Source organism: Homo sapiens, chromosome 7 (assembly GCF_000001405.40).
Source record: "Homo sapiens chromosome 7, GRCh38.p14 Primary Assembly".
In the NCBI taxonomy this organism is placed as follows: domain Eukaryota; kingdom Metazoa; phylum Chordata; class Mammalia; order Primates; family Hominidae; genus Homo; species Homo sapiens.
In genome coordinates, this window is record NC_000007.14 from 144,818,311 (window position 1) to 144,844,119 (window position 25,809).

Genomic DNA, 25,809 nt, shown 5'->3' on the forward strand with positions numbered 1-25,809 from the left:
CTCGGCTCACTGCAACCTCCGCCCCCCAAGTTCAAGTGATTCTCCTGCCTTAGCCTCCCGAGTAGCTGGGATTACAGGCGCCCACCACCACACCCAGCTAATTTTTGTATTTTCAGTAGAGACGGGGTTTCACCATGTTGGCCAGGCTGGTCTCAACTCCTGACTTCAGATGATCCACCCCCCTTAGCCTCCCAAAGTGCTGGAACTATAGGCATGAGCCACCATGCCCGGCCCATATACATAACTCTTTTAGCATGAACCCCTCTAAATGCTGGATGGAATAGAATAAATAAATACTGCTCTCTAAAAACATAGCTGCCCTCACAAGAGAGGGAAATCCCCAAGTTTGTGTGTAGTTGGAGGCAGGGCTTGCCAAGAGGAAATTTGAAGCCACAATAACATGCTCATGAGCAGATGCTGCTGAGGCTCAGTAGCAAGAGGGTGAGTGAAGGAAGTCTAGCCAAAGGCTGCGGGCCTTATTGGTTAGGGTTTTGACACCAATGCGAGGATAGGGGAAAAAATCATGGGACATGCAAGGTAGGTACGTCTTAGGTATTTATGACATATATCACAGCTTTGGTAAGTTAACCCATAGAAGATTACCAAGTGATGTTTAATGTAAATGCCTGACTGCCCATTAAAATTTGATTTGGAGCTGAGCAGCCTGGCAACTCAACTTAAAGGCAACTCATTGTCTAAATATATGTGGTAGGATGCTTAGCATAGGAGGCATAAAGAAGAATAAGAATTCATGTCACTCCCCTCCAAGAGCATACATAAGCAAACAGATCAACTAGAGTACCACTCAATAAGTGATACTGCCTTGTGATCCTCAATTTACTTTTCTCTGAACTCTCTTCCTCTCCAAAAGCTTAAAAATAGGCAATCCTTTCTGTTAGACATAAAGAGCACACATAGGAATATCAAAAGAAAACACAATATGAGAATAAAAAAAATTATGTCCCAAACCACTACAACTACATCTTAGGTATTTATGACATATATCACAGCTTTGGTTAAGTTAACCCATAGAAGATTACCAAGTAATGTTTAATGTAAATGCCTGACTGCCCATTAAAATTTGAATTTCAGATAAAAGCAAATAATTTGGTGGCATGCTACTGTCATTTTTGTATGCTTTAGCATATAATCAGACCACCCAGTTATCTTAAAATAGTGCCTGACCAATGATATGAACACAGTGAACAAAACTGCGACATTAGGAATGGTTCAATATAAAATAAGCATCTCGGGTAAGAGAATCAAAAAAAATCAAAGCAGATTATACTGTGGGACAAAGGACAGTATCAGAGAAACCTGTCAACAAGTAACAAGGCCTCATCACTAGCTGGAATTCAGCAGTAAGAATATGTCATATTTGAGGAGCTCTGGAATAGGCAGAAAACAAAGATCAAGGTAAACTCCCAAATCCAGAGAAACCACATTCCTGAGAGTATTACAAAAAGGCTTCCAAGAAAAAGCAGGAATTGAACCACTGAATCTGAGATCAAAGACGGCAGATGTATCCTGCAAACTTTCACCTCAAACACTCAGATCCCAACTACAAGCAAGATTACAATGATTCCAAACCTTGAGTATTTGGCTAGAGTTCTTGGAAGTCATCCTGTGGCCAATTCTGTCCACTGTCTCCACCATATCTATCCATCCAACTTCTCTGTCAGTACCACTTCAGTTTATTTAGTTGCTAGTATGCCCATATCCCAGTCCCAGAAGATGAACTGTTTCTGGCCAAAATCAGTCATAAGAACAGAATTCCACGTGATTGCTTTTTAGGAATGGCCACATAACCTAGTTCTGGCCAATATGAAATAAAACAAAAGTGAATTATGTGGATTGTGGATCTTAGGAGAAGGCTTTTAGTTTTCTGATATAGGGGGATGAACCAGGTTGGCGTGACCCTTTTTAAAATCCCTCCATACTTTTTTTCTGCTTACAATGCATCCTTGATGCCTGAAGTTCTAATAACTACCTTGCCTCTAATGAGATCACAAGCATGAGGCTAACGGCCAACACAGAAAGACAGAAGAGCAAAGAACAGGCCTGCATCCCTATCAACAGTGTACAGCAGCTACGCCAGCCCTCCACCACCTACCTCCAGATTCATCGTTTAAGAAAAATCAATTCCTAATTGTTGAAGCTACTGTGAGATGAGTTTCCCTATTACTTACACCCAAATGCATTCCTTAACTGATGTACTGTTTCCCACTAAGGATAGTGATAGACTCACTCACCAGGTTGAGAATAAACTGAAAGTTTATTAAACTTGTCTCTGAGAATAAACTCAGAGACAAGAGATGTAGAGATTGGGGAAAAAAGTCTTCAAAGAGAAATAAAACTCCATCAGCCATACCACATATACACATACAAAATCAGTATTGTGGTAGTGGTTACCCAACAGGCTCTGCAGCCAGACTACCTGGGCCTAAACCTCAACTCTGCTGCTTCCTGGACCTGTGACCTTGGGCAAGATAGTCAACCTCTCTGTACCTATCTCAGCATTCTCATTTCTAAAATGGGGCTAACAGTATATTCCCCTTAAGAATGTTTGTGAGAATAAACAAGGTAATACATAGAAAACTTGGAATAGTTCCTTGCATACAGTAAGCTCTCAGTAAATACTGGTAATCACCTGTATTATGCAAACATATATAAATATATAAAAATGAATGATACAGTTTATGCAGTGCAAACATGACACAAATTGTGTGGTACAAGTGAGCAGAAAATTCCTCACAGAACTCACCCACCTCTAACACATTGTCTCAACTGAGTAGTGCTTCTGTGTCTGCTAATAGCTGCATCAGCAGCTCTAACTCTTGGATGGCATAAAAATGATGCAATTTCACAACAAGAAGATTGACTAAACATAAGCCATTTACACTTCAAAAAGCAGTGCAAGGGCAAAAGCGTAACGTCAGATCTCATCTCAAGTATTGTTCTTACCTGGCAAGTGGAAACAATAACTCATCTCCTAACAGTAATAGAAAGGTTAAATTTATGATAGGCTTCAAGTATACAATACCACCATATGCCTAATCCTTTCATAGTTATCTAGTGTCACAGTCCAATGCACACTTCAACGGAATCACTAGTTTCTATGAATGTCATTAGTACGAGCTGGTCTGCACATGGGTTCCCTTCACTTGCATTTTTTTTTTTAATCAACAAGAATTGTCACAGGCAGATTCTAACAGATCCACTGAAACAGATAACACTAAATCAGTTGAACTGATAATAGGCAAGAGAGAACGTTCAGAAACCAATTGTTCCTATGATAATAGTAACCTGGATCAAGACAGACAGCAAAAAATAAACAAGGAAACTATTTTACAGTTTTGAACAAAACAGTATAAACATTCCACCAGGCTTCCCACACCCTAACTACTCTGGTTTTGTAAGCTACTTTAGAGCTTTGGGTATTGGACACCTACTTGTAAATTCCCATTACCATCTTATTTTTCTCAGTCCTAATATATGCCTGATGTTCCTATATAAACATTCCTAGCCTTGTACTTCAGTTTAGGCCAGCTTCTTTTACTTTCCATTCCTTGGATATCTCATCAAACCTAAATATATTCTATTCTATTTCCAAATTTTAGTTATAATTTTAGAAGTTTAAAATTTGAAGGAGAGGACAATATTTTTAGAGTTGACTCCAACACTCACTGGTTTGGCGAAATAAAGTCATTTCTGTAGTTAGAAGGTAATACTTAGCACATGGAGATCAAGCATATGGAAATTAAAATGACAAAACTATATAACTGCTGTCTAAATGCAAAGTTATGACTACTGGATACATTTCACTTTTTTAAAAAACAAGTGAGGGACCATAAATACAAATGCAGATGGTCCTGGAGTTCATTTCACCTCCTCCCCTTCCCCAATTTCTGGATTTTTCAAGGAGCTAGTTCAGCAGGTCAGAGTTAACAACGCAAGAATAGGCTGAAATTAGCTGCTTAGCAACACAAGCTCCCCACTCTAGTAACCTGGAAGTTCCCAGACACACAGTATTACAGTCACCTGGAGGTTCCAGCAAATATGTGGAACTTTTGTGGGGGTGGGAGGGCAGCAGTTGAGATTCCTCTCCTGGAGTGATTACAGGGCACCCTGCAGCACAGGCGAGCCTAGCCTAAGTCCTTTCCGTGGGATGAGCACCTGAGGAATCCCACAAGCTCCCAGGTATGTGTGACCTGCCCACTTTGTACATTGTCCTCAAAGGCTGCATGCTATGCTTTTACAGGTGCATTTTCACTTTTAATTCTCATAGTCTATGACAGGTCATTTACAGATAAGGAAACTGACTTCCAAGAAAGTTAAGATGACCTATTTACTCACCTTTTAAATTAACAACAAACTAAGGAGAATTTAGTGCTTAAAGTGTAATTTCCAAAAGGTTTAGAATCATGACCTTCATGCAAATATAAAAGGAACACATGCCAAAGATATTATTCAGCTCATCAATTAATGAGATTATTAGTACAAACTTGAGTGTGTGTGTGTGTGTGTGTGTGTGTGTGTGTGTGTGTGTGTAGGTGGAGTATTACTGAAATCAATGGTGAATCTATTATAAGAAGGGTTTCCAAGCTGAGTGACAAAGCATTCAGGGTGCCTCACTGAACTAACAGAGACACTGTATGAACTACTAACAGGTTTTTTGGACCCAATTACTTAGTAGAAGTTACTATTAGGTATTTGGTGCTGGTGGCCCCATGAAAAAATTACTGAGACACTGAAGACTAAAACTGAAAGTTTAGTAATGTCTACCATAGAGCAATGAAACATAATATCTGGGGATATTTCTTCAGGGTGGAAATCAATTCTATCCTACTGGACAAAATTCATTTGCATTATTATAGATAAGAATCTTGGTCGGGCGCGGTGGCTCATGCCTGTAATCCCAGCACTTTGGGAGGCCGAGGCGGGTGGATCATGAGGTCAGGAGTTTAAAACCAGCCTGGCCAAGATGGTGAAATCCCGTCTCTACCAAAAATACAAAAATTAGCTCAGAGCAGTGGCAGGCGCCTGTAATCCCAGCTACTCGGGAGGCTGAGGCAGGAGAATTGCTTAAATCCGGGTGGCAGAGGTTGCAGTGAGCCAAGATTGTGCCACTGCACTCCAGCCTGGATGACAGAGTAAGACTCCATCTAGAATCGTTTGCATGACTATTAGTTAACTTCTATCCCTACAGCATTGCAAAATTGCCTAATCAAAAAAAAAGTGAAAGGTATACACCCTGTATCTAGTCACTTCAGGATCCACTAAACAAGCCCAGCGTTCCACTGAAAAGACTCCTAGTAATCTTTTCTGATCATTTTCAAGTCTTGGACAACCTTTCCCACCTTAGATTATGGGCAGTACTACCAAGAGTACCACAAAAATCACGATGCGGGAGTGAAAAAGCAGGATCAGCTATAATCCATGAATATTTCCATCCAGAATTGCAGAGCATCCACTGCCAGCAAGGACATATTGAAAGGGACACACTAATATGCTGATACTGCCACATAACCTGCTACAGCCTTTCTGGAAAGCCACCTAGGAACATGTACTGGAAACCCTACAGGCTCATAACTTTGATTATTTAATTCTACTCCCAGAAATACACACTCAACATACAATCAGAAGTGGACTAAGGTACATAAATATCTCACAGTGTTAATCACAAAAATAAAAAATTTAAAACAAGTTAATTTACCACCTTAAATATTTCTTCTTTCCAGAAGCCTTCAATAAACCCCCAAATCCTTCCTGTGTGATCCAAGGTTGCCCTTACATGTCTCTTACCACATTGTACTCTAATGTCTCACTTGCTTATCCATTTGCCCTACTAGGCTATAATCTCTATGGAAACTTGGACCATGTATTTCAATTGCATGGATTTAGTATGATGCTACATGCATAACAGACAAAGTTGGCTCAATAAATAAAATGTTAAACAGCCTGAAAACATATGTTTCCTCTATAGAAATGAAACCATAATTACAAGTATTAACAAGTATTTTTCACAAAGAGGCCATTTTAATTCCATTTTCAAAAAGCTTTGATATATTCTGACTTACAGTAACCAATTCAGATGCGAGATTCACCAAAAAAAAAAAAAAAAAAGTGAGGTCAGAAACAGCTTTACTGACTTCAAACTTCAGAACTCTTCAACTATCATTCCTTAAAATCAAAAGCATGGGCTTATTTAATAGGATGATATCATCCAGAGAAAAGAATGTGATCGTGTGACTACTTTCTTTGGCTTTAAGCCATAACTAGAAGAATGTATTCAGTCACAGATGTCTCATTTGTAAAGGGATACTCAGGAATTGAAATGCCTGAAGAAGCATAACTTACAAACATCTCTCTGGTTAACGATTTTCCAAAAGAAAATTGTTTGTGTGATTTTAACACCCAAACTTTATAGAGTGTATATATCTCATAATATAGTAATTTTTGGCCAATAATTCCAAAGGAAAATTTTAGATTTACTTCCCCCAAACTCAATAAAACACCAAAACAAAATTATATATGAGAAAAGCCTGAAGTTATATCTTAACCAATTACATTGATAAAATATCAGCATTACGTGTAGACATTTTGAAAGGCAGACCAAGGGCCAAAAAAGTGGATATGCACCTCAGATGTTGCTGGTGTGGAAAAAGGTATCACCTCATCGCACTCAGGTGAGCCATCCTCTGCCACTGGGTATGTGTCCTGAATGCCTCATCACACTATACATTTTCACAGACAACAATAAAGCTCAAAAGAAAACCACTGGATATTAATCGTTGAAAAGAAGTTCTAGATAATGATAAATGTTATCATGAAATGTGATGGAGGGTGTTTTTAATTATTTTAAAAGGAAGTTGCTATTCCTCTTGGGTAGTGCCTTTCACATTTTAAGGAGCATTAAGGCTGACCGAGGGTCTCGTTAAAATGCAGATATTTATTCAGTCAGTCTGAAGTGGGGCCTGAGATTCTGCTTTTCTAACAGGCACTGAGGCATGCCAATGCTATTGGCCTAAGAATTTCAATTTAAGTAACAAGGTTTTAGAGCACCATACAAAGAAATTTATAAACTTAAACAAGGTATGCAACTGTGCGACCTTCCATTTTCCTGCTCCCGCTTCCTCTTTTCATTTCTTCTTTAATCTCAAAGCACTGATTGTCTCCCCTGATGATTTATCAAGACCTTCCTGTTCAGGATTCTCAATATCCTACAGAAGCTGCAATTTAAGATAACAAAACAGGCCAAGCATGGTGGTACACCTGTAATCCCAGCACTTTGGGAGGCCAAGGCGGGCAGATCACCTGAGGTCAAGAGTTCAAGAGAACCCTGGCCAACATGGCGAAACCCCGTCTCTACTAAAAATAAAAAAATTAGCCAGGCGTGGTGGCATGCACCTGTAGCCCCAGCTACTCAGGAGGATGAGGCAGGAGGATCGATAGAACCTGGGAGACAGAGGTTGCAGTGAGCCAAGATTGTCACTGCACTCCAGCCTGAGCAACAGAGCGAGACTCCATCTCCAAAATAAAATAAAATAAAATAACGAAAACAGGTCCCAGTAAGCATTCTTGACAAGGACATCTGATTTTCCAAAAGTAGGTAACTGATACCTATATTGGGATAGGCTGGAAAGCATTACATGAAAAGAAAATTGTTGATATGTCTTCCCATGCCTAGAATGGTTCCCAGTACACAGCAGGCAGGCACTCAAATAATTGTTCAACAAATGGCTATGATCTGATTAAGATTTTTCAGTATTTGAAGGGTAATTAGGTAGAAAACAAGTAAAGATCTTCTATGCTATTTACGGTGGAAAATAGAGAGCTAAGGGTAAACTTCAGCTTTTTTAAAATACATATTTTAGTCATCAGTTGTCTGTCCAATAATGCTACATGTTTTCTCAAAAAGACTGAGCTATCTGAACATGTTCCAGCATAAAAACCAGATGGCTATCTCAGAGGATTACTAAGGAATACACACACCAGGAACAGTAAAGGTTTCAAAGGTCTCCTACCCATCCAAAGGATTCACTCAGAGCATGTGTATTTGGATTAGGAAGAAACTTTTTCTAGAACAGTTTTCCTATTTTGAAAAAAGAAAAAAAGGTTTTTTGGCAGCAATTGGGCTGGCAAGCCAAAACCTTACACATGACCTATGAGTAAATCAAAAGCTTAAATTCACTGGAACTCATAAAAACAAAAGAAACTATTCCACTGTGAAAAATGAATACCTTCAAAGACAATGGTGTGACAAAGACACAGAAATACTCAGAATAACATCCATTTGTTGCAGCATTTGTTTGCCACCTACAAAGAATAACTTTCAGATGCATTTTACCAACAGCAACAAAAAAAATAAAATGTATTTGATGGGAAGTTAATGCACAAATTCACCTCGTTTTCCTAGAAAACCTCAAAGACATCTCGTGTTAATGTGTCAATACCCACAGATTTTTTTGGTGTAATTATGCCGTAATATTTTATCATTGTGAATATTAAAACTACCCCACAGGCTCACTTGATATTTTCAATTTTTTCATCTAAAAAAACCATTTTTTCTAATACTGCTACAAAATAAAAATTTAGATAATTTTTTAAAGATTTAAAATTATTTTTAAACTCACTTTAGAAGTTTTAGTTTCTAAAAGCATGGAACTATTAAAATGCTAATATGGAAAGATGGGGGGGCAGGTGCCATAAGACTAAATACCACTGAATCAAAGGAAATTGATTGTCTAGATGATGTGGAAAAGATAGCTTATAAAGTTAATGAGATCTTATTTAAGGCAAGAGAAACAATTTGCTCACGGACAACAAGGATGAATCAAAATGTTGTCATCAAGTATAACTAATCTAATTAAAAGTACAGCAAAGGCTGGGCTCGGGCCTGTAATCCCAACACTTTGGGAGGCCGAGGCGGGCGGATCACGAGGTCAGGAAATCGAGACCATCCTGGCTGACACGGTGAAACCCCGTGTCTCTACTAAAAATACAAAAACTTAGCCAGGCGTGGTGGCGGGCGCCTGTGGTCCCAGCTACTCGCGAGGCTGAGGCAGGAGAATAGCATGAACCCGGGAGGTGGAGGTTGCAGTGAGCTGAGATCACGCCACTGCACTCCAGCCTGGGCGACAGAGCAAGACACCATCTCAAAAAAAAAAAAAAAAAAAAAAAAAAGGACAGCAAATATTAAGGCAAATATGAAAATAAAACAAAATACGAAGAAAAGTTAAACTATACCAAATGCAGTAAGTAATAAGTAAAAAATAAGTAAAGGGTAGTTAACAGCAAGTCTCAGTAAATTAGAAATAGGTTGAAAGAAATAAAAAAGAAGAATTCCAACAATTATAAGTTATACGCCAAGAAAAGCATGAACAGTCAACACAGTGAGTGTCCTGGAAACATTCCAGAGATTTGAGAGCTACGTAGGAGGATTTCTGATTGGGTAGGAGAGTACCATAAGATCCTTGAAACTCTGGAATTCACAAATTCGTATCTTCCACTATCTTAGCCCTTGATAACAAAAATATCACAATCCTTAAGCAGCAGATAAGGCTAATCCTTACACAGCAGCTTTAGTCAGAGATTTCTTTACCATACCAGATGAAAGTGTCTTGGGCAACCCGCTGGGGTCCCCTTCCACACTTTGGAAGCTTTGTTCTTTTGCTCTTTGCAATAAATCTTGCTACTGCTCACTCTTTGGAAAAAAAAAAAAAAAGAAAGTGTCTTAAAAAACCAATCAACAATAACCCTGAAAGTTTTCTAGGTTTTAAAGCAAGAATACTGCTTTAAACAACAAGAACAAAAGTCATTATAATTTTAGGGGAAATAGACATTCAGAAAACCTAGGTTTTAGTCCAGTTCTATCTCTAGTATCTATTTCTAAGGCTTTCTTTGGAAAAGAAATATTCTTTTCCTTGCCTATGAAGTTCTTTCCAAACTTACAAGGCTACGACGTACTCCTTGCTAATACGAATAAAAACAAAACATTTGACAAATTACCACAAATTAAACACAGATCAAGTATGTCTAATGAAAATTTATCATCTGAATTGAGATGTGCCAGATACGTAAACTACACACCTGAGTTTGAAGATTCTGTGCAAAAAACGGAAACTATAGCATTAGTAGTGATTTCTATTGACCACATGTCAAAATAATATAATTTTAGATTAAATAAGACAAACAAAATTAAAATTCATAACCTTTATAATGAGACTATTAGAAAATTTTGAATTATATAACATACGAAATTACATTTCCATTGTGTTGTACTAAACAGCCTGTTATGTACTGAAATCTTTCACAGTAAGATTTGTCAACCCTTTTTATTTTCCTACAACATCTATTAGATGTGTGGCCCATAATGGATAAGCAGGAATGAACAGAGAAACCTTTGTATGTAAGTAGAAAACAGAAACTAAATAAGACCAAAATTGACTCTCTGATTCATATACTAGCTCTATGCTATTAGAATTACATGTTAAAACCTCTTTTTTGGAAGTCATGGTAATACTGAAATATGGACCCAGTCAATTTTTTTTTAGTTTACAGCTGAAAAGCTAATTGACATACCCTATTTGTTATGAGCTAAATTGTGCCCACCCACCCCCCCACTCCCACCAAATTCATAAGTTGAAGTCCTAACCCCCAGAACCTCAGAATATGGCTGTATTTGCAGACAGGATCTTTAAAGAGATAAATATAGTACAGTGAAGTCAGATAGGTGGGCCTCTCCCAGATGGGTGCTGGGAATACAGGTGAGAGCCACCACACGTGGCTAACTATAGCACTTTTATTTGTCAATCATGCCTCAAAAAAGTTGAAAAAATAAAAATAAAAAGATCAGTATTCTTAGTAAACTGGAAATTAAAACCTCTGTAACTGCTGTGTCTTAAAAGTTTGTGAAATAAGTACATGGCAAATAACTGTTCTGAGTTTTGACTATTTACCTTTATTTTGGCAATAAAGTGTTTCAAGTAAATCAACTTTACTTTTTTAAAAAAAGTTTAAAGCATATTAATTTCTGAACATAAATCTTCATGATAAAAACTGAAATGATCACAGGCACTGAAGAACAAAGCAAAAAGTTTAGATGTCTAAGACTATGCTGAAAAGGCACCTAGTTTACAAGGCCTCAAACAGCCATAGTACACCCTTACCAGTTAAATATTCTGTATTAATTTAAAAATAAAAACCTTTCAGATGAAAAGTTTAAAAAGACAAAAAATACTTAAAATGCTTGAATTCTTACATGTCACCATTACATGCTTTACACATATTGTTTAATTTTCACAACTCTCCTTGGAAAGTGTCATTCTCCCTATTTTAATAATGAGAAAATCACAATGTAAAGAACTGCAACCAGAATATATTAAAAAAAAAAAAAAAACTCCTAAAATACGTTTTTATAAAAAAGGAAAGATAACCTAATTGAAACAATGAGTAAGAGCCATAAACACTTAAGACGAGCAAAAGTCAATAAACACATTATGAGAAATCTGTCATAAGGAAAATGACAAAAATCATAGAGACATCTCTATACACCCACCACAATGGCTAAAATTTAAGAATAATAATTCTAAGGATTGGCAAAGATCATTCTAGGTGGCAAATTTAGCATGAGCTAAGGGAAAACACTGAAGCAAGAACAAATGTTCCTATAAGGCAATAGTGGGTATGTGAGTTTACCTTAGGTGCAAAGAGGTGATTGTACCATCACAGTGACTACAGTTAATAAATAATATATTGTATGCTTGAAAACTGCCTTCAAGATAAGGACTTTAACCTACAGTTGGTTGGCAAATCAGAACCATGACATCAATGACACAACTAAATGAGTTTTAAAGTACAGTAGTTCCCCTTATCTGTATATAACCTACACACACCCTCCTGTATACTTTAAATCATCTGTAGATTAGACTGTCTGTGGCCAGTTACGAACCCACCCACACAGTAGGGCAGGAAGGAGTGAAGCTGAGCTCCACCTCCTGTCATATCAGCAGGGCATTAGATTCTCACATGATCCCAAAGCCTATTGTGGACTGCACATGCAAAGGATCTAGGTTGCACACTCCTTATGAGAATCTAATGCCTGATGATCTGTCACTGTATATATTACATGTAATAATAAATACCTACATACATTATATATTACAATGCAATAATAGAAATAAAGTGGACAATAAATGTAATGGCTTGAGTCATCCTGAAACCACCACCACCCACCCCTCCAGTGGTCCATAGAAAAACTGTCTAATATAAAACCAGTTCCTGGTGCCAAAAAAAGTTGGGTGACTCGCTGCAGTGGAGTTCTTAGAATATATCACTCTAGGATATGGGGGGGATTACTGTTTATAAAAAGCTGCTTTGTATAGAATGTTCCAAAGACAGAAGACACAGAAACTTTCAAAAACTATCTCTTTCTCTGCAATAAATGTCTCTTCCTCCACAATCTGATTCTACCCTCACTGTTCAACCACATTCTTCCAAAACCCTCATGAGCACTCTCCAACCTGGCCACACTCTCTCTCTCTCACCACCGTGTCCATTTTCACGTCCAGATGCAACACTGAGTTCTCTCTCTAGGATGGCCCATCACTTGCGATGCTCTTCTGGAAACCTCCCTGTGCTTCTCTCCATTTAAATCCAGTGCTCTTTTGCAGGCCCAGCTGATGTCTGACTCACCCCATGATTTATCTGCCGACTCCAGCCTGCCTCTCATCCCGGTGTCTACAGTTCCTATGTGGGTTCTACAATACATAATTCAGCATCTCACTGGAATCTTATGTTTTGTTCTTGACACTCAATTAGCCCATAAACTCCTAGATAGAAGGGACCACTTCTTTCAATTTTGTATCCCCCTCAGCACCTAGTACCAAAGGGTATACACCAGTTAGCTGATAGATCCCCTTGATAACCAGAAATACAGACACACCCTCTGGCCTGGCAACTGCATTTCTAGAAATTTACACTACTAAAATACATAAATATGAAAAATAGTATGATCAAAAATATGCATTGTAGACTGTAACAGTACAAATTGGAAGTAACATAAATGTCTATTAAGACTAGTGAGGCCAGGCCGGGCGCAGTGGTTCACGCCTCTATAATCCCAGCACTTTGGGAGACCGAGGCTGGTGGATCACCTGAGGTCAGGAGTTCGAGACCAGCCTGGCCAACATGGTGAAACCCCGTAACTACTAAAACTAGAAAAATTAGCCAGGCGCAGTGGCAGGCGCCTGTAATCCCAGCAACTTGGGAGCCTGAGGCAGGAGAAGCCAGGAGGCAGAGGATGCAGTAAGCTGAGATTGCACCACTGCACTCCAGCCTAGGGTACAGAGCGAGACTCTGTCTCAGGAAAAAAAAAAAAAGACTAGTGAGGCCAGGCACAGCGGATCATGCCCGTAATCCCAACACTTTGGGAGGCCAAGGCAGGAGGACTGCTTGAGCCCAGGAGTCAGAGGTTACAGTGAGCAATGATCACACCACTGCATTTGAGCCTGGGCTAACAGAGCAAGACCCTGTCTCTAAAAAAAAAGAAAAAAAAAGAATGACCAGTGAATTTCAGTCCATTACTGTCCATTAAAAAAACAAACAGTTGGGATATCTATACACATAGACATAACAAAGTAGTAGGTGAAAACAGTTGCAGAAAAGGGTATTCAATAGGCCTATTTTTGTTTTATTCATACACACAAAATTTAAAAGAACACATAAATTTTTAGACTGATAATGTCCGGTAACTAGGACACATTTTTTAGTTTGGAAAAAAAATGAACAAAGAGCACATGTGATGTTTGTAGTAACAAATATTTATGTATTTTAACTCACTGCCCACAAACAGTAATTTACAAAACAATTTATAATATGAACACATTTTGTTTAAAGTATGAGAAATAATAGTTATTTCTGGAAAAGGGAGTACAGGAAACTTTCACATTCTAGGGCAGATAGTTGTTTTTTCTTAAATAATGAGCACTTAGTTACAAAAAAAAAAAAAAGAATTTTAAAAAGAATTCCATCTTTCCCTGGGCTAGTGATCATCCCAGAGGGTTAAGTATTTTGGTCCACAAAACTTTTCTTAGCAACTTCTTAATCTGTAGAGAACTACCTTTATTGTTGGATTGTCCACTATACTAAATCTTAATAAGCATTACAGATAAATCATACCAACAAATAAAATTCACAGAAGCTGGTATCAGAAAAAACTTCTCTGCCAGGTGAGTATTAAACACTGAACCTGTTTGATAAAGGGAATCTCTCCAATAAAAAAATTAACCTCAAAAATTTACTGAATTACTGTAAAAGATCCGGCATCACACTGGCCCTTATAGTAATAGTTCTGTTGTTAAACACCTTATACATATCCAGAGTAATCACAAACTTGCCCAAATCCTTGTTTCAAGGTCAAAACTAGAGATAAGACAAGAATCCTACACAGTTTTACCCATAGGAACAACAGGAGGTAACTGTGAGAACCACCCAAGAGGCCAGGCACTGGATTCTGTTCCCTGGATCTGTACTTCATATATCACCATTTCCCTACAGGCCTTGCTCCAATGTGGAACTTACAAATGTCCTGACTTAAGCAGTCAAGGCCTTCTCCACTAAGCCTCTATTAAAAACAAAGGGGCAGAGCTATCAGCTCCCTCCTTTTCCATCTCAGCATCCACCCTGAGATTCAACTGCCTTTTTGCTTTCCCCTCAAACTTACTGCTGAACAGCTTATAGCTACTGAAGCTAAGTGCTTGATTTGTACTAATTCATTTATACACATAATAACCCTATGATGTATTCCTATTTTACAGATGAAGAAATGGAAGTACAAGGTGAAATAACTATTAAGTGGCAAAGCTAGGATTTAAACCCAGATATTATAGTTCCTCAATACAATCTTTATTATGCAGCAGTCAGTATCCCTGATATATGTCTTTTAACCTAGAAACCATTAGAAATCTTCAGACAGTAATGCTCTTAGGTTTCAGTAACAAATCTGAAAGTCAACATTTCACCCAAATCAAATGTTTACTCTAGAAAATGCTGTTTGTCCTGGTAATACTGGATAAACGAGAACTAGGAAATTTGCAAAATGTGCTTCCCAGTGCCTTTTGGGGTTTTTTTTCTTTGGATTGTTTTTGTTTTTGTTTTTGTTTTTGTTTTGAGATGGAGGATGGAGTCTCTCTCTGTCTCCCAGGCTGGAGTGCAATGGTGCAATCTCAGCTCACTACAACCTCCACCTCCCAGGTTCAAGCAATTCTCCTACAATTCTCCTACCTCAGCCTCCCAAGTAGCTGGGATTACAGGCGTGTGCCGCCACAACCAACTAATTTTAGCAGAGACTATTTTTAGTACAGACAGGGTTTCACCATGTTGGCCAGGCTGGTCTCAGAATTCCTGACCTCAGGTGATCCTCCTGCCTCAGCCTCCCAAAGTGCTGGGATTACAGGCCTGAGCCACCGCGCCTGGCCTTTTTTTTTTTTTTTTTTAACTTTGAAAAGCTGTTTAAAGTAATAAACACTCAACCTTTTAATCTACTAAAATAATAAAGGGATTAAGACTCTAGTTATGTAACTGTTTTCCTTCACCTGTAGAATAAGACATAAACATGTATATGTATATAAAGCTTTTAGCATAACTAGGCGTGGTAGTTCATACCCACAATCCCAGCACTTTGGGAGACTGAGGCAGGAGAATGGGATCACTTGAGCCCAGGAGTTTAAGACCAGCCTGGGCAACACAGGGAGACCCCTTCTCCACAAAAAATTTAAAAATTAGCCAGGTGGGGTAGTGCACACCTGTAGTCCTAGCTACTCCAGAAGTTAAGGTGGGAGGATCGCTTGAGCATGGGAGGTCGAGGCTGCAGTGAGCCATGATGGCACCACTGCACTCCAGCCAGGGCGACAAAGCAAGACCCTGTCACAAACAAAAACATGACTTGGGAGTAAGGAGTCAATGTCACCTACTATTCCCAGCATGTGGAAAAACGTACAAGTTAAATTCAATGCCCAAAACACGACCCATGAATTCATGTTGACAGAAAACAAATGTAAACGTTTAAACAATTATACTTTCTGTTTAAATTTACGAAAGTTATGAGAAAAAACTAATAGTTAATTGAAAATACTTTAACATTACCAAATTATCACACAGTAGTCAATTATTACACAAGAATGAATGCTAACAACCTGCCTCATAAACTCATTCATTCCATCTATTTCCATGTGAAGTACCTGAATGTCTTATTTTCAAAAGTTTTTCTCTTTCCTGTGCGATGCCTTGTCTTACCTTTAACAATGAGATAATAGTCTTTGCTCTCCTTTCCCCCACGAACACCCTTACACAACGTTTCCCTTATCTAATTATGTGTTCGTCTGAAGTTCCAGAGACTAATCTTGAAACAATTCAGGCGACTACTGAATTCTCCTCCACCTGGAGATTACTTCAAGGCTGCAGTTAATTTGCAACCCAGTTATACTCAGGCGCCAGCCCATTCACCAGATGAGGCAAAAACCCAAGATAAATATCTGAGCAAGTCACGTAGACTGGGGCCCCCGAGCCCCAATACCAAGCGCCCCTTTATAAGCTCTTACATTTTGTCCAAATTTGAAATGGTTTCGTTAAGGCAGAAGCTTGGACTACTTCCCCATTGCTAGCTTTGGAAAGTAGTCACTTTCCTTTCCGGGCCCTTCGTCCTTGTTGATTGGCTCTGCAAGCAGCGAGCAGCCCAGCCTGAACTCGGTTACACAGTAATTTCAAATCTTAGAAGAATAAAATATCCTGAGTGTTATATAGATTTAAAACACTTGATATAATCATTTGCCAATCTTTTATTAGATAAGCTCGGGGCACTTTCAATGGATTAAAAATGCATCACGGTCAGGCAACGATGACCGTCCTTAATGCCTGCAATGTCTAATGTTCCGCTATGTTCCAGATTTGTTCGCGCTGTTGGTGGAGGCGCAACAGCCGGGAAGCGCTTACTGGGCTCCACACGGACTACACACACTGTATCTTGTCATTTCGTCCTCACAGCAAGGACTGATACGTAAGCTCATTTTTCAGATGAGGAAAATGAGACCGGCGAGAGGCTGATATGCTTAGCGGTACAGAGCTAGGAAATCAGGGACAGAACCCAGGCTGGAAGTCACGCTGGCTCTAGAGCCCCGTCCTTTCGACCTGTTCCCGTCGCTGGGGAGGGGCACGTCAGTGACACTAAACCGTGGAAAGAAATACAGTACCAGTGGAAAGCAGGGGCTCCAACGGGGTAAAGGCATGCTCCATAACGGATTATTGGCCTCTGCATTAAAAAAAAAAAAGTGAAGTTAGACTCTCAGTTTTAATTAAACATCGCGCAGAACCAACAGCACGGGAGCCGCCTGAACCTGGCACTCGGCAGCGGCGCGCTCCGGGACCCAGGAGCCAGCTGAGCTGCGGCGCAGCACCCGGCGCTGGGGACCCGCCACGGCTCGCCTACAGCACCGCCGCGGGCGGGGGCCCCCGGAGACCGGCCGCGCGGGCCGCTATGAGGTCCGAGGGGTTGCCCCTGCCGCCTCTCTCCGCGAACCCATCACCATCCGGGAACCTGGGGAGCGAGAGGCGGCCGCCCCCTTCCGCGGCCCGCGCGCCCGGCAGCAGTCGCACTTACACAATGGCTGGTAGGAGCCACAGACTGGAGATCGCAGGCTGCGGGAGCTACGGCGATCGACCGCTCGGCGCTCGGCTGAGGAGCCTTGGCGCGCGGTCCTCGCTCGCAGGTTTTAGCCCCCGGGACGCGAGGTGGCCCCGCCCGCTTCCGGGAGCCGGAGGCAAGTGGGAGCCGCGCCCTGTGCTCTGCGTCCGGCACTACCCACCTCAAGTCTCCAAGGCTTCGTTTTCTGGGCTGGTTCTGCTAGCTGTAGTACTGCTGCCGGGCCCTCTGCACTCAGCTTTAACAAGGAGGCCATTTGCTTCAAACTAAGTGGCGAATTCCCTATCACCCATGCTTGACCTAGCTTCCAAGCCAAACTTACTTTCCACTGTGCTGCTTCTAGTCCTGCTACCGGTGTCCTCCCTGAGCCGTCGGGTTAAAAGCTTTCCTTCCTGGCCGGGTGCGGTGACTCACGCCTGTAATCCCAGCAGTTTGGGAGGCCGAGGCGGACGGATCATGAGGTCAGAAGTTCGAGACCAGCCTGGCCAGCATGGTGAAACCTCGTCTCTACTAAAAATACAAAAAATTAGCCGGGCATGGTGGCGCGCGCCTGTAGGCCCAGCTACTCGGGAGGCCGAGGCAGGAGAATCGCTTGAACCCGGGAGGCCGGAGGTTGCAGTGAGCCAAGATCACACCAGTGCACTCCAGTCTGGGCGACAAAGCGAGACTCCATCTCAAAGAAAAAAAAAAAGCTTTCTTTAGGGAACACTCCGTTAAGAGCTTTCCTTACTTTGCTTTGTGGAAACAGAATGTTTTTGTTGGAAGAAACTTTAAGCCACCTATCTGCAGCTGCAGAGCGTCACTGTTGCAATACAGGCTTTTCCAATAGTGAGCGAACCTAATCTCCCTCTACCCTCTTAAGGTTTCCACCTGGGCCTAAGAGGTTAAATTGACTTAAGACAGTTTAACAGGGGAAAAGCTTACAGCTATGTGCATGGGAGTCCACAAGAAAAGACCCAAAGAAGGAGGAAGCCTAAATGCTTATATACGGGTTTAGCTACAACAAATTTCAAAAGTCCATGTTTAAATATGACCTTAATGAACCTAAAAGACAATTGGGGTACAAGGAAACTATCTGCACATGTAATAGACAAGTGGTTGCCATGTGTTTATCCTATGAAGAGCTGTTACCAGTTGATGTGTCCAGGTTCTTGGCGTCTTGAACAAAGAATTGGACAAAACGCACAAAGCAAGGAAAGAATGAAGCAAAAACAGAGATTTATTGAAGATGAAAGTACACCCCATAGGTTGGGAGCGCCCGAGGATAGGGGCTCAAGAGTGCCGTTAGAGAATGTTCTGGGGTTTAAATGCCAGCTAGAGGTTTCCATTGGTTACTTGGCTTATGCCCTATGTAAATGAAGAGGATGAAGTAAATTTTAAAGTCATTTACTGGATATAAGCCCTGTGTAAATGGAGAGGATGTTTCCTGTCATTGCTGAAGTACTGCAATTTGATTTAGTTCCAGGAAGTCAGCATGAATCGGCCTTAACATTCCCTGCCTCCAGACCCTATTCTGCCTCAGAACTACATGTCCATTAGTAAAAGGCAAACCAGAAAAATTATGACCAAGGATATAAACAGGCAAGGCAAATTATAGAAGGTAGTCAAATGGCAAAAACACATCACCAATATTCAGAACGAAATCTTGAACAATGAATTCAATGGCAGATTGTAACCAATTTTTTAAGCAGTAATAAAAATTTACACTTACTGATCAATTATTATGTTCCAGTCAGTGTTGAGGTCTTTTATATTTTATTTAATTACCCTAAAATGTAGGCTCCAGGAAAACAAGGACCAAAATTTAGTTGTTGGCCCTTGAATCCTCACTCTAGCACAGTTTACTTGTTAATGATTTGTCTCCCCCTACTAGAGAGCTAGCTCTCTAAGGGCAGGAGCCTTGTCTATTTCCTTCCCTGCTATTTCTCCAGCCACACAGTGTGTCTCACCAAGATAAGTTCAGTAAATGTGAAATAAATTAACAAATAATGGGAAAAAAATGGAGAATTATGGTACTTCATACCAGGAATTACAGGCATACCTCCTTTTATTGTGTTTAGCTTTATTGTGCTTTACAGATACCGCTTTTACAAATTGAAAGTTTGTGGCAAGCCTGCATCAAGCAGGTCTATCTGCAACATTTTTCCGAAAGCGTGTACCTGCTTCGTGTCTCTGCGTCATATTTTGGTAATTTTCACAATACTTCAAATATTTCCATTAATATATTCATTACAATCTGTGATTAGTGATTCTTAATGTTACTCTTGTCATTGTTTTGGGGTGCCACCAGCCATGCCCTTATAAGACGGCAAACTTAATAGATCAATGTTGTGTGTTTCTTACTGCCCCGGGACCAGTACATTCTCCTGTTTCTCTCTCCCCGTGGGCCTCCCTATTCCCTAAGACACGACAGTATTGAAATTAGGCCATTTTATATTCCTACAATGGCCTCTAAGTGTTTAAGTGAAAGGAAGAACTGCATGTGTCTCACTTTAAATCAAAAGCTAGAAATGATCAAGATTAGTGAGAAAGTTTTGTCAAAAGAAAGCTAGGCTTTTTGTATCAGTTAGCCAAGTTGTGAATGCAAAGCAAAAGTTCTTTAAGAAAACTGAAAGTGCTACTCCACTAAACACATGAATGATAAGAAAGATAAACAGCCTTATTGCTATGAAGAAAGTTTGAGTGGTCCGTGTAGAAGATCCAGTTAGCCACAACATTTCCTTGAACCAAAGCCAGATCCAGAGCAAGGCCCTGATTCTGAATTATCTTAAAGTCTGGGAGAAATGAGTAAACTGCAGAAGAAAAGTTTGAAGATAGCAGAGGTTCATGTGGTTTAAGGAAAGAAGCCATCTCCGTAACATAAAAGAGCAAGGTGAAGTTGCAAGTACTGATGAAGAAGCTGTAGCAAGTTGACCAGAAAATCTAGCTAAGATCATTGATGAAGGTGGCCATTTTTCATGGAGATGAAACAACCTTCTATTGGAAGAAGATGACATCTAAGACTTTGATAGCTAGAGAGGAAAAGTCAATACTTGGCTTCAAAGTTTCAAAGGCCAGGCTGACTCACTTGTTAAGGCCTAATGTAGCTGGTGGTTGTCAGTTGGAGCCAGTGCTTGTTTACCATTTTGAAAATCCTAGGGCCCTTAAGAATTATGCTAAATCTGGCCAGGCACGGTGGCTCATGCAGATCACGAGGTCAGGAGTTCGAGACCAGCCTGACCAACATGATGAACCCTTGTCTCTACTAAAAATACAAAAATTAGCTGGGCATAGTGGCAGGTGCCTGTAATCTCAGCTACTCAGGAGGCTGAGGCAGGAGAATCGCTTCAACCTGGGAGGTGGAGGTTTCAGTGAGCTGAAATTGGGCCTGCACTCCAGCCTGGGTGACAGAGAGAGACTCCGTCTCAAAAAAAAAAAAAAAAAAAAAAAAAGAATTATTCTAAATCTACTCTGCCTGTATCTAGAAATGGAACAACGAAGCCTGAATGGCAACACATCTGTTTACAACATGGTTTACTGAATATTTTAAACCCACTATTTTACTGCTCAGAAAAAAAAAATCCTTTACAAATATTACTGTTCATTAATAGTGCACCTGGTCACCCAAAAACTCTGATGGAGATTAATGATTTCATGCCTGCTAACACATCCATTCTGCAGACCATGGATCAAGGAGTGATTTCTACTTTCAAGTCTTATCATTTAAAAAACACATTTTGTAATGCTGTGGTGCCATAGATAGTGATTCCTCTGATGGATCTGGGTACAGTACATTGGAAACCTTCTAGAAAGAATTTGCCATTCTAGATACCATTAAGAACATTCATGATTCATGGGAGGAGGTCAAAATATCCAAATTAATAGAAGTTTGGAAGAAGTTGATTCCAATCCTCATGGCTGACTTTGAGAGGCTCAAGACTTCAGTAGAGGAAATAACTGCAGATGTGGTAGAAATAGCAAGAGAACTAGAATTAGAAGTGGCGCCTGAAGATGGAACTGAATTGCTGCAATCTCATGATCTTTGCTCACGGCAACCTCTGCCTCTTAGGTTCCAGTGATTCTCATGCCTCAGCCTCCTGAGTAGCTGGGACTACAGATGTGTGCCAACATGCCTGGCTAACTTTTGTAATTTTAGTAGAGATGGGGTTTCACCATGTTGGCCAGGCTGGTCTCAAACTCCTGGCCTCAAGAAATCCACCCATGCCTCCCAAAGTGGTGAGATTACAGGTGTGAGCCACCACACCTGGCCAATATACCATATATTTTGAACACCACCAGTACAAGAAAATGAGGGTAGAGCCACAGAATATTTGGTGAGGAAGACAGAAGAGCCTTCTTTGTATCCTGGAGAAAACTATGTAACTTACTACTTGGAGTTCCTTCCTACTTTGTGGAGTCATACTGTGGACCTGTTTACCATCAGTATTAACCTTTTTGGGATCATAGAATCAATTGAAAATTTGTTTGAAGATTTGGAACCTCTCCCCTGAAAATTGTTCCATGTATGTATGTATGCATGCATGCTTATATTTATTCTGCTTTCCTTGGAAGCCCCAAATATACTAAAGGTTAACAATAATTGCTCATTAAATTTCTTTTAATATACATTTTTATAAACATCTTAAACTTCTTTAATATACTTATTGAAAAAATATGTATTAATGTAATAAAAAAAGTACATAAAATAAAAATTGATATCACTCTCACCCTACTGGCTCCTACCTACTACACCCCTTTTTCTCAGAGGTCATTTTAACAATTCAGTTTCTATGACTTTCCAAATCCATTTTCTATGAATCATCAAAAACAGAAGTGAGACTATTCTACCATTTACATTTACAAAATTTACTCTGTTGTGGACATTTTTCCACATGATGCCATATTTATCTAGCTCATTCTTTTTAATACAGCCATGACTTGGAAATACTGTGGGTTTGATTCCAGATACCACAATTAAGTAAGCTGCACAAATTTTGGGGTTTCCTAGTGCATATAAAAATTACCTTAGGGCGGCCGGGCATGGTGGCTCACACCTGAAATCCCAGCATTTTGGGAGGCTGAGGCAGGTGGATCACAAGGTCAGGAGATCGAGACCATCCTGGCTAACAAAGTGAAACTCCGTCTCTACTAAAAATACAAAAAATTAGCCGGGCACGGTGGCAAGCGCCTGTAGTCCCAGCTACTCAAGAGGCTGAGGCAGGAGAATGGCGTGAACCCGGGAGGCGGAGCTTGCAGTGAGCCGAGATTGCACCACTGCACTCCAGCCTGGGCGACAGAGCGAGATTCCGTCTCAAAAAATAAAAAAATTATTTTAGGGCTGGGCGCGGTGGCTCACGTCTGTAATCCCAGCACCGTGGGAGGCCGAGGAGGGCGGATCATGAGGTCAGGAGTTCAAGACCAGTCTGGCCAACATAGTGAAACCCTGTCTCTACTAAAAATACAAAAAATTAGATGGGTGTGGTGGTGTGCACCTGTAATCCCAGCTACTCGGTAGGCTGAGGCAGGAGAATCACAGTACCTTAACACTATCCTGTAGTTGCCCAGGCTAGAGTGCAGTGGCACAATCTTGGCTCACTGCAACCACTGCTGTCCAGGCTCAAGTGATCCTCCCACCTCAGCCTCCTGAGTAGCTGGGACTACAGGTGTGCACTACCACACCCAGATCATTTTTGTATTTTTTGTAGAGACAGGGTTTCGCCATGTTGCCCAGCTGGCCTCAGATCGTGAGCTCAAGCACTCCACCCACCTGGGTACTGTAATCCCAAAGTGCTGGGATTACAGGCATGGGCCACTGCGCCTAGCCCAAGCAGCTTCTTTACTTGCGTTCCTCAGAAGATGTTTAAAAGTGAATAATGTGTTATAAACCCCAAATGATATTGGTGATAGTGTGCAGTATTTTCAAAACTTATTTCACTGCAAAGCACTTTTATTATAGCATTGTTTGGAATAATATTATATTTTTTTTTAATTTTTTTTTTTTTAATGACAGGGTCTCCAGGCTGGAGTGCAGTGGCGTGATCTTGACAATTAAGGAGATGGCTTTATTCAGGCTATTGCAATAAGCAGAACACCCTAGGCCCTAATGTCAGAGTGTCTTGGCAGTGTGATTTTCCTTTAGATCTTTTTGTTTGTTTGTTTGTTTTTAGCATAGAAACGGCATCTCACTCTGCCTCCCAGGCTGGTCTGCGGTGGCATGATCCGAGTTCACTGCAGCCTCAAATTCCTGGGCTCAAGCCATCTTCCTGCCTCAGCCTCCTGAGTAGCTCGAATTATAGGTGCATGCCACCACACCTGGCTCTTTTTTTTTTTTGTAGAGACAGGGCCTTGCTATGTTGGCCAGGCTCCTCTTGATCTCATGCCCTCAAACAATCCTGTCATCTCCACCTGCCAAAGCACTGAGATTACAGGCATGAGCCACTGTGCCCAGCCCTTCTTAGACTTTTATAGGAAGTAGTAGACGTGGGGCGATTGCCATTTGGGGTTATTTTGCAATCAGGGGAAGTCCCGGTCAGTTGGCGGAACAGGAAATGTTTATGTCTGTGTTTGGCTAGTTTCAAACAGACAAACTGTTCTAATCTCTGCTAAATCATTTATGAGACCAACAACGGGGTCTTGGAGTGTTCATGACTGACCTTCTCAACAGGTCAGGCAAAAACAAAGGAGTCATCTGAGGGTATTACAGAAGCCAGGAGAAAGAGACACAGAGTCTTATCTACCTCATGTGAGAAAGGGTAGTTCTCTGAGGTAATTCATTCCTGGAACACAAAAGGCGGGGCTAGGGATGGGTTTCAGGAAACAAAAGGGTGAAGGAATTTCTCAGTCATCACTGTTTTTCAGTACAGGGCTCAGGCAATGTTAGAAGCTTCCTGAAAGTTTCACACTATACTTTTGCTTAAAACAAATTGTGACTTGAACATATACATATATATATATATAAATCTGTGAAGGATTCATTAGCCACCATAAGGTCTACGTATCACACAGCAATGTCTACTGTATCATAGAATAAATATAAACTAAATCAGTACTATCATTTATTTAATCTATGGATAATATTTAGTACATAAAACTTTGGGGACACCTGGTAATCACTCTGTGAACTCCCAGGCATCAACACCCTACAGGCTGGAAGTCACTGGCATAATAGAAAGCATCCTTGTTTTAGGAGTCAGCAACCTAGCCCTCAGTAATGAAGAGAACAAACTCCTTTCTTGTTTGTTAAACCACTCTTCTGTTTGTGAAAGTTCTATCTTGTTTAAACCACTCTTATTTAGTTGGGTTTTTCTGAGGGGCGAGGGGGCAAGAGTTGGTTATATGATACTCACCCTTTGTCCTAATTGATACATCTATTAACAAATGATGGCAAATTGATCTAGAGTGAACAGAGTGAAAAGATTTGGAAAATATTTTGGGACCAGAATTGACATTTTGGTTATGCATTAAATATATGGTGTGAGAGATTTGACTCCTAAATTTTTAGCTTTTGCAACAAAGCATGTAGTAGTTTCATTTACTAAGATGGGGGAAGACAAAACTAGTTAAAGGGGAGGAAAATAAATTTTAAATGAATACTATATGGTCAGGTGTGGTGGCTCACGCCTGTAATCCTAGCACTTTGGGAGGCCGAGGCTGGCAGATCACCTGAGGTCAGAAGTTCGAGACCAGCCTGAACAACATGGTGAAACCCCGTCTCTACTAAAAATACAAAAATTAGCCGGGTGGGGCGGTGGGTGCCTGTAATCCCAGCTACTTGGGAGGCTGAGGCGAGAGAATTGCTTGAACCCAGGAGGCAGAGGTAGCAGTGAGCCGAGATTGTGCCACTGCACTCCAGCCTGGGCCACAGAATGAGACTCCATCTCAAAAACAAAAAACAAAAACAAAATGAATGCTATAATAAATTTACTTAAAAACCTCACCTAATTTATGGCAATCTTGATGATTATGTATATTTCAATCAATAGATTTTAGAAGTTAGCAAAGCTTACAGAAGTATATACCCAAAGGAAGAAAAATCATTCTACCATAAAGACACATGCTCATATATGGTCATCACAGCACTATTAACAATAGCAAAGACATGAATCAGCCTAAATGCCCATCAATGATAGACT

The 25,809-nt window shown here is 40.4% G+C and overlaps 1 protein-coding gene across 34 annotated transcripts in view, besides 2 other annotated features; it reads right to left on the minus strand.

Moving 5' to 3' along the window:
- TPK1 (thiamin pyrophosphokinase 1) overlaps positions 1-18,127 on the minus strand; it is a 384,497-nt gene extending 366,370 nt beyond the window's left edge. For 14 of the 34 annotated variants that reach the window (XR_001744630.2, NM_001350893.1, NM_001350894.1 and 11 more), the window contains exons 1-2: positions 17,657-17,743; positions 17,250-17,308 (exon numbers count right to left, since the gene is read on the minus strand). Coding sequence is in view for 18 of the 34 variants with exons in the window: in NM_001042482.2 (NP_001035947.1) it covers positions 17,250-17,292 (43 nt within the window). In the remaining 16 variants the exon portion in view is untranslated. Of the gene's footprint in view, positions 1-16,601; positions 17,309-17,393; positions 17,631-17,656; positions 17,744-17,861 lie in introns of those variants that run through there. The other 20 variants (NR_146934.1, NM_001350889.1, NM_001350885.1 and 17 more) reach the window with 9 other exon arrangements.
- Positions 17,484-17,583: a silencer, noted in NCBI's record as "silent region_18731". NCBI's record gives its function as "represses an Ori minimal core promoter by ATAC-STARR-seq in GM12878 lymphoblastoid cells {active_cell/tissue: GM12878}" and the evidence as "EXISTENCE:reporter gene assay evidence [ECO:0000049][PMID:35858748]".
- Positions 17,884-17,953: an enhancer, noted in NCBI's record as "active region_26797". NCBI's record gives its function as "activates an Ori minimal core promoter by ATAC-STARR-seq in GM12878 lymphoblastoid cells {active_cell/tissue: GM12878}" and the evidence as "EXISTENCE:reporter gene assay evidence [ECO:0000049][PMID:35858748]".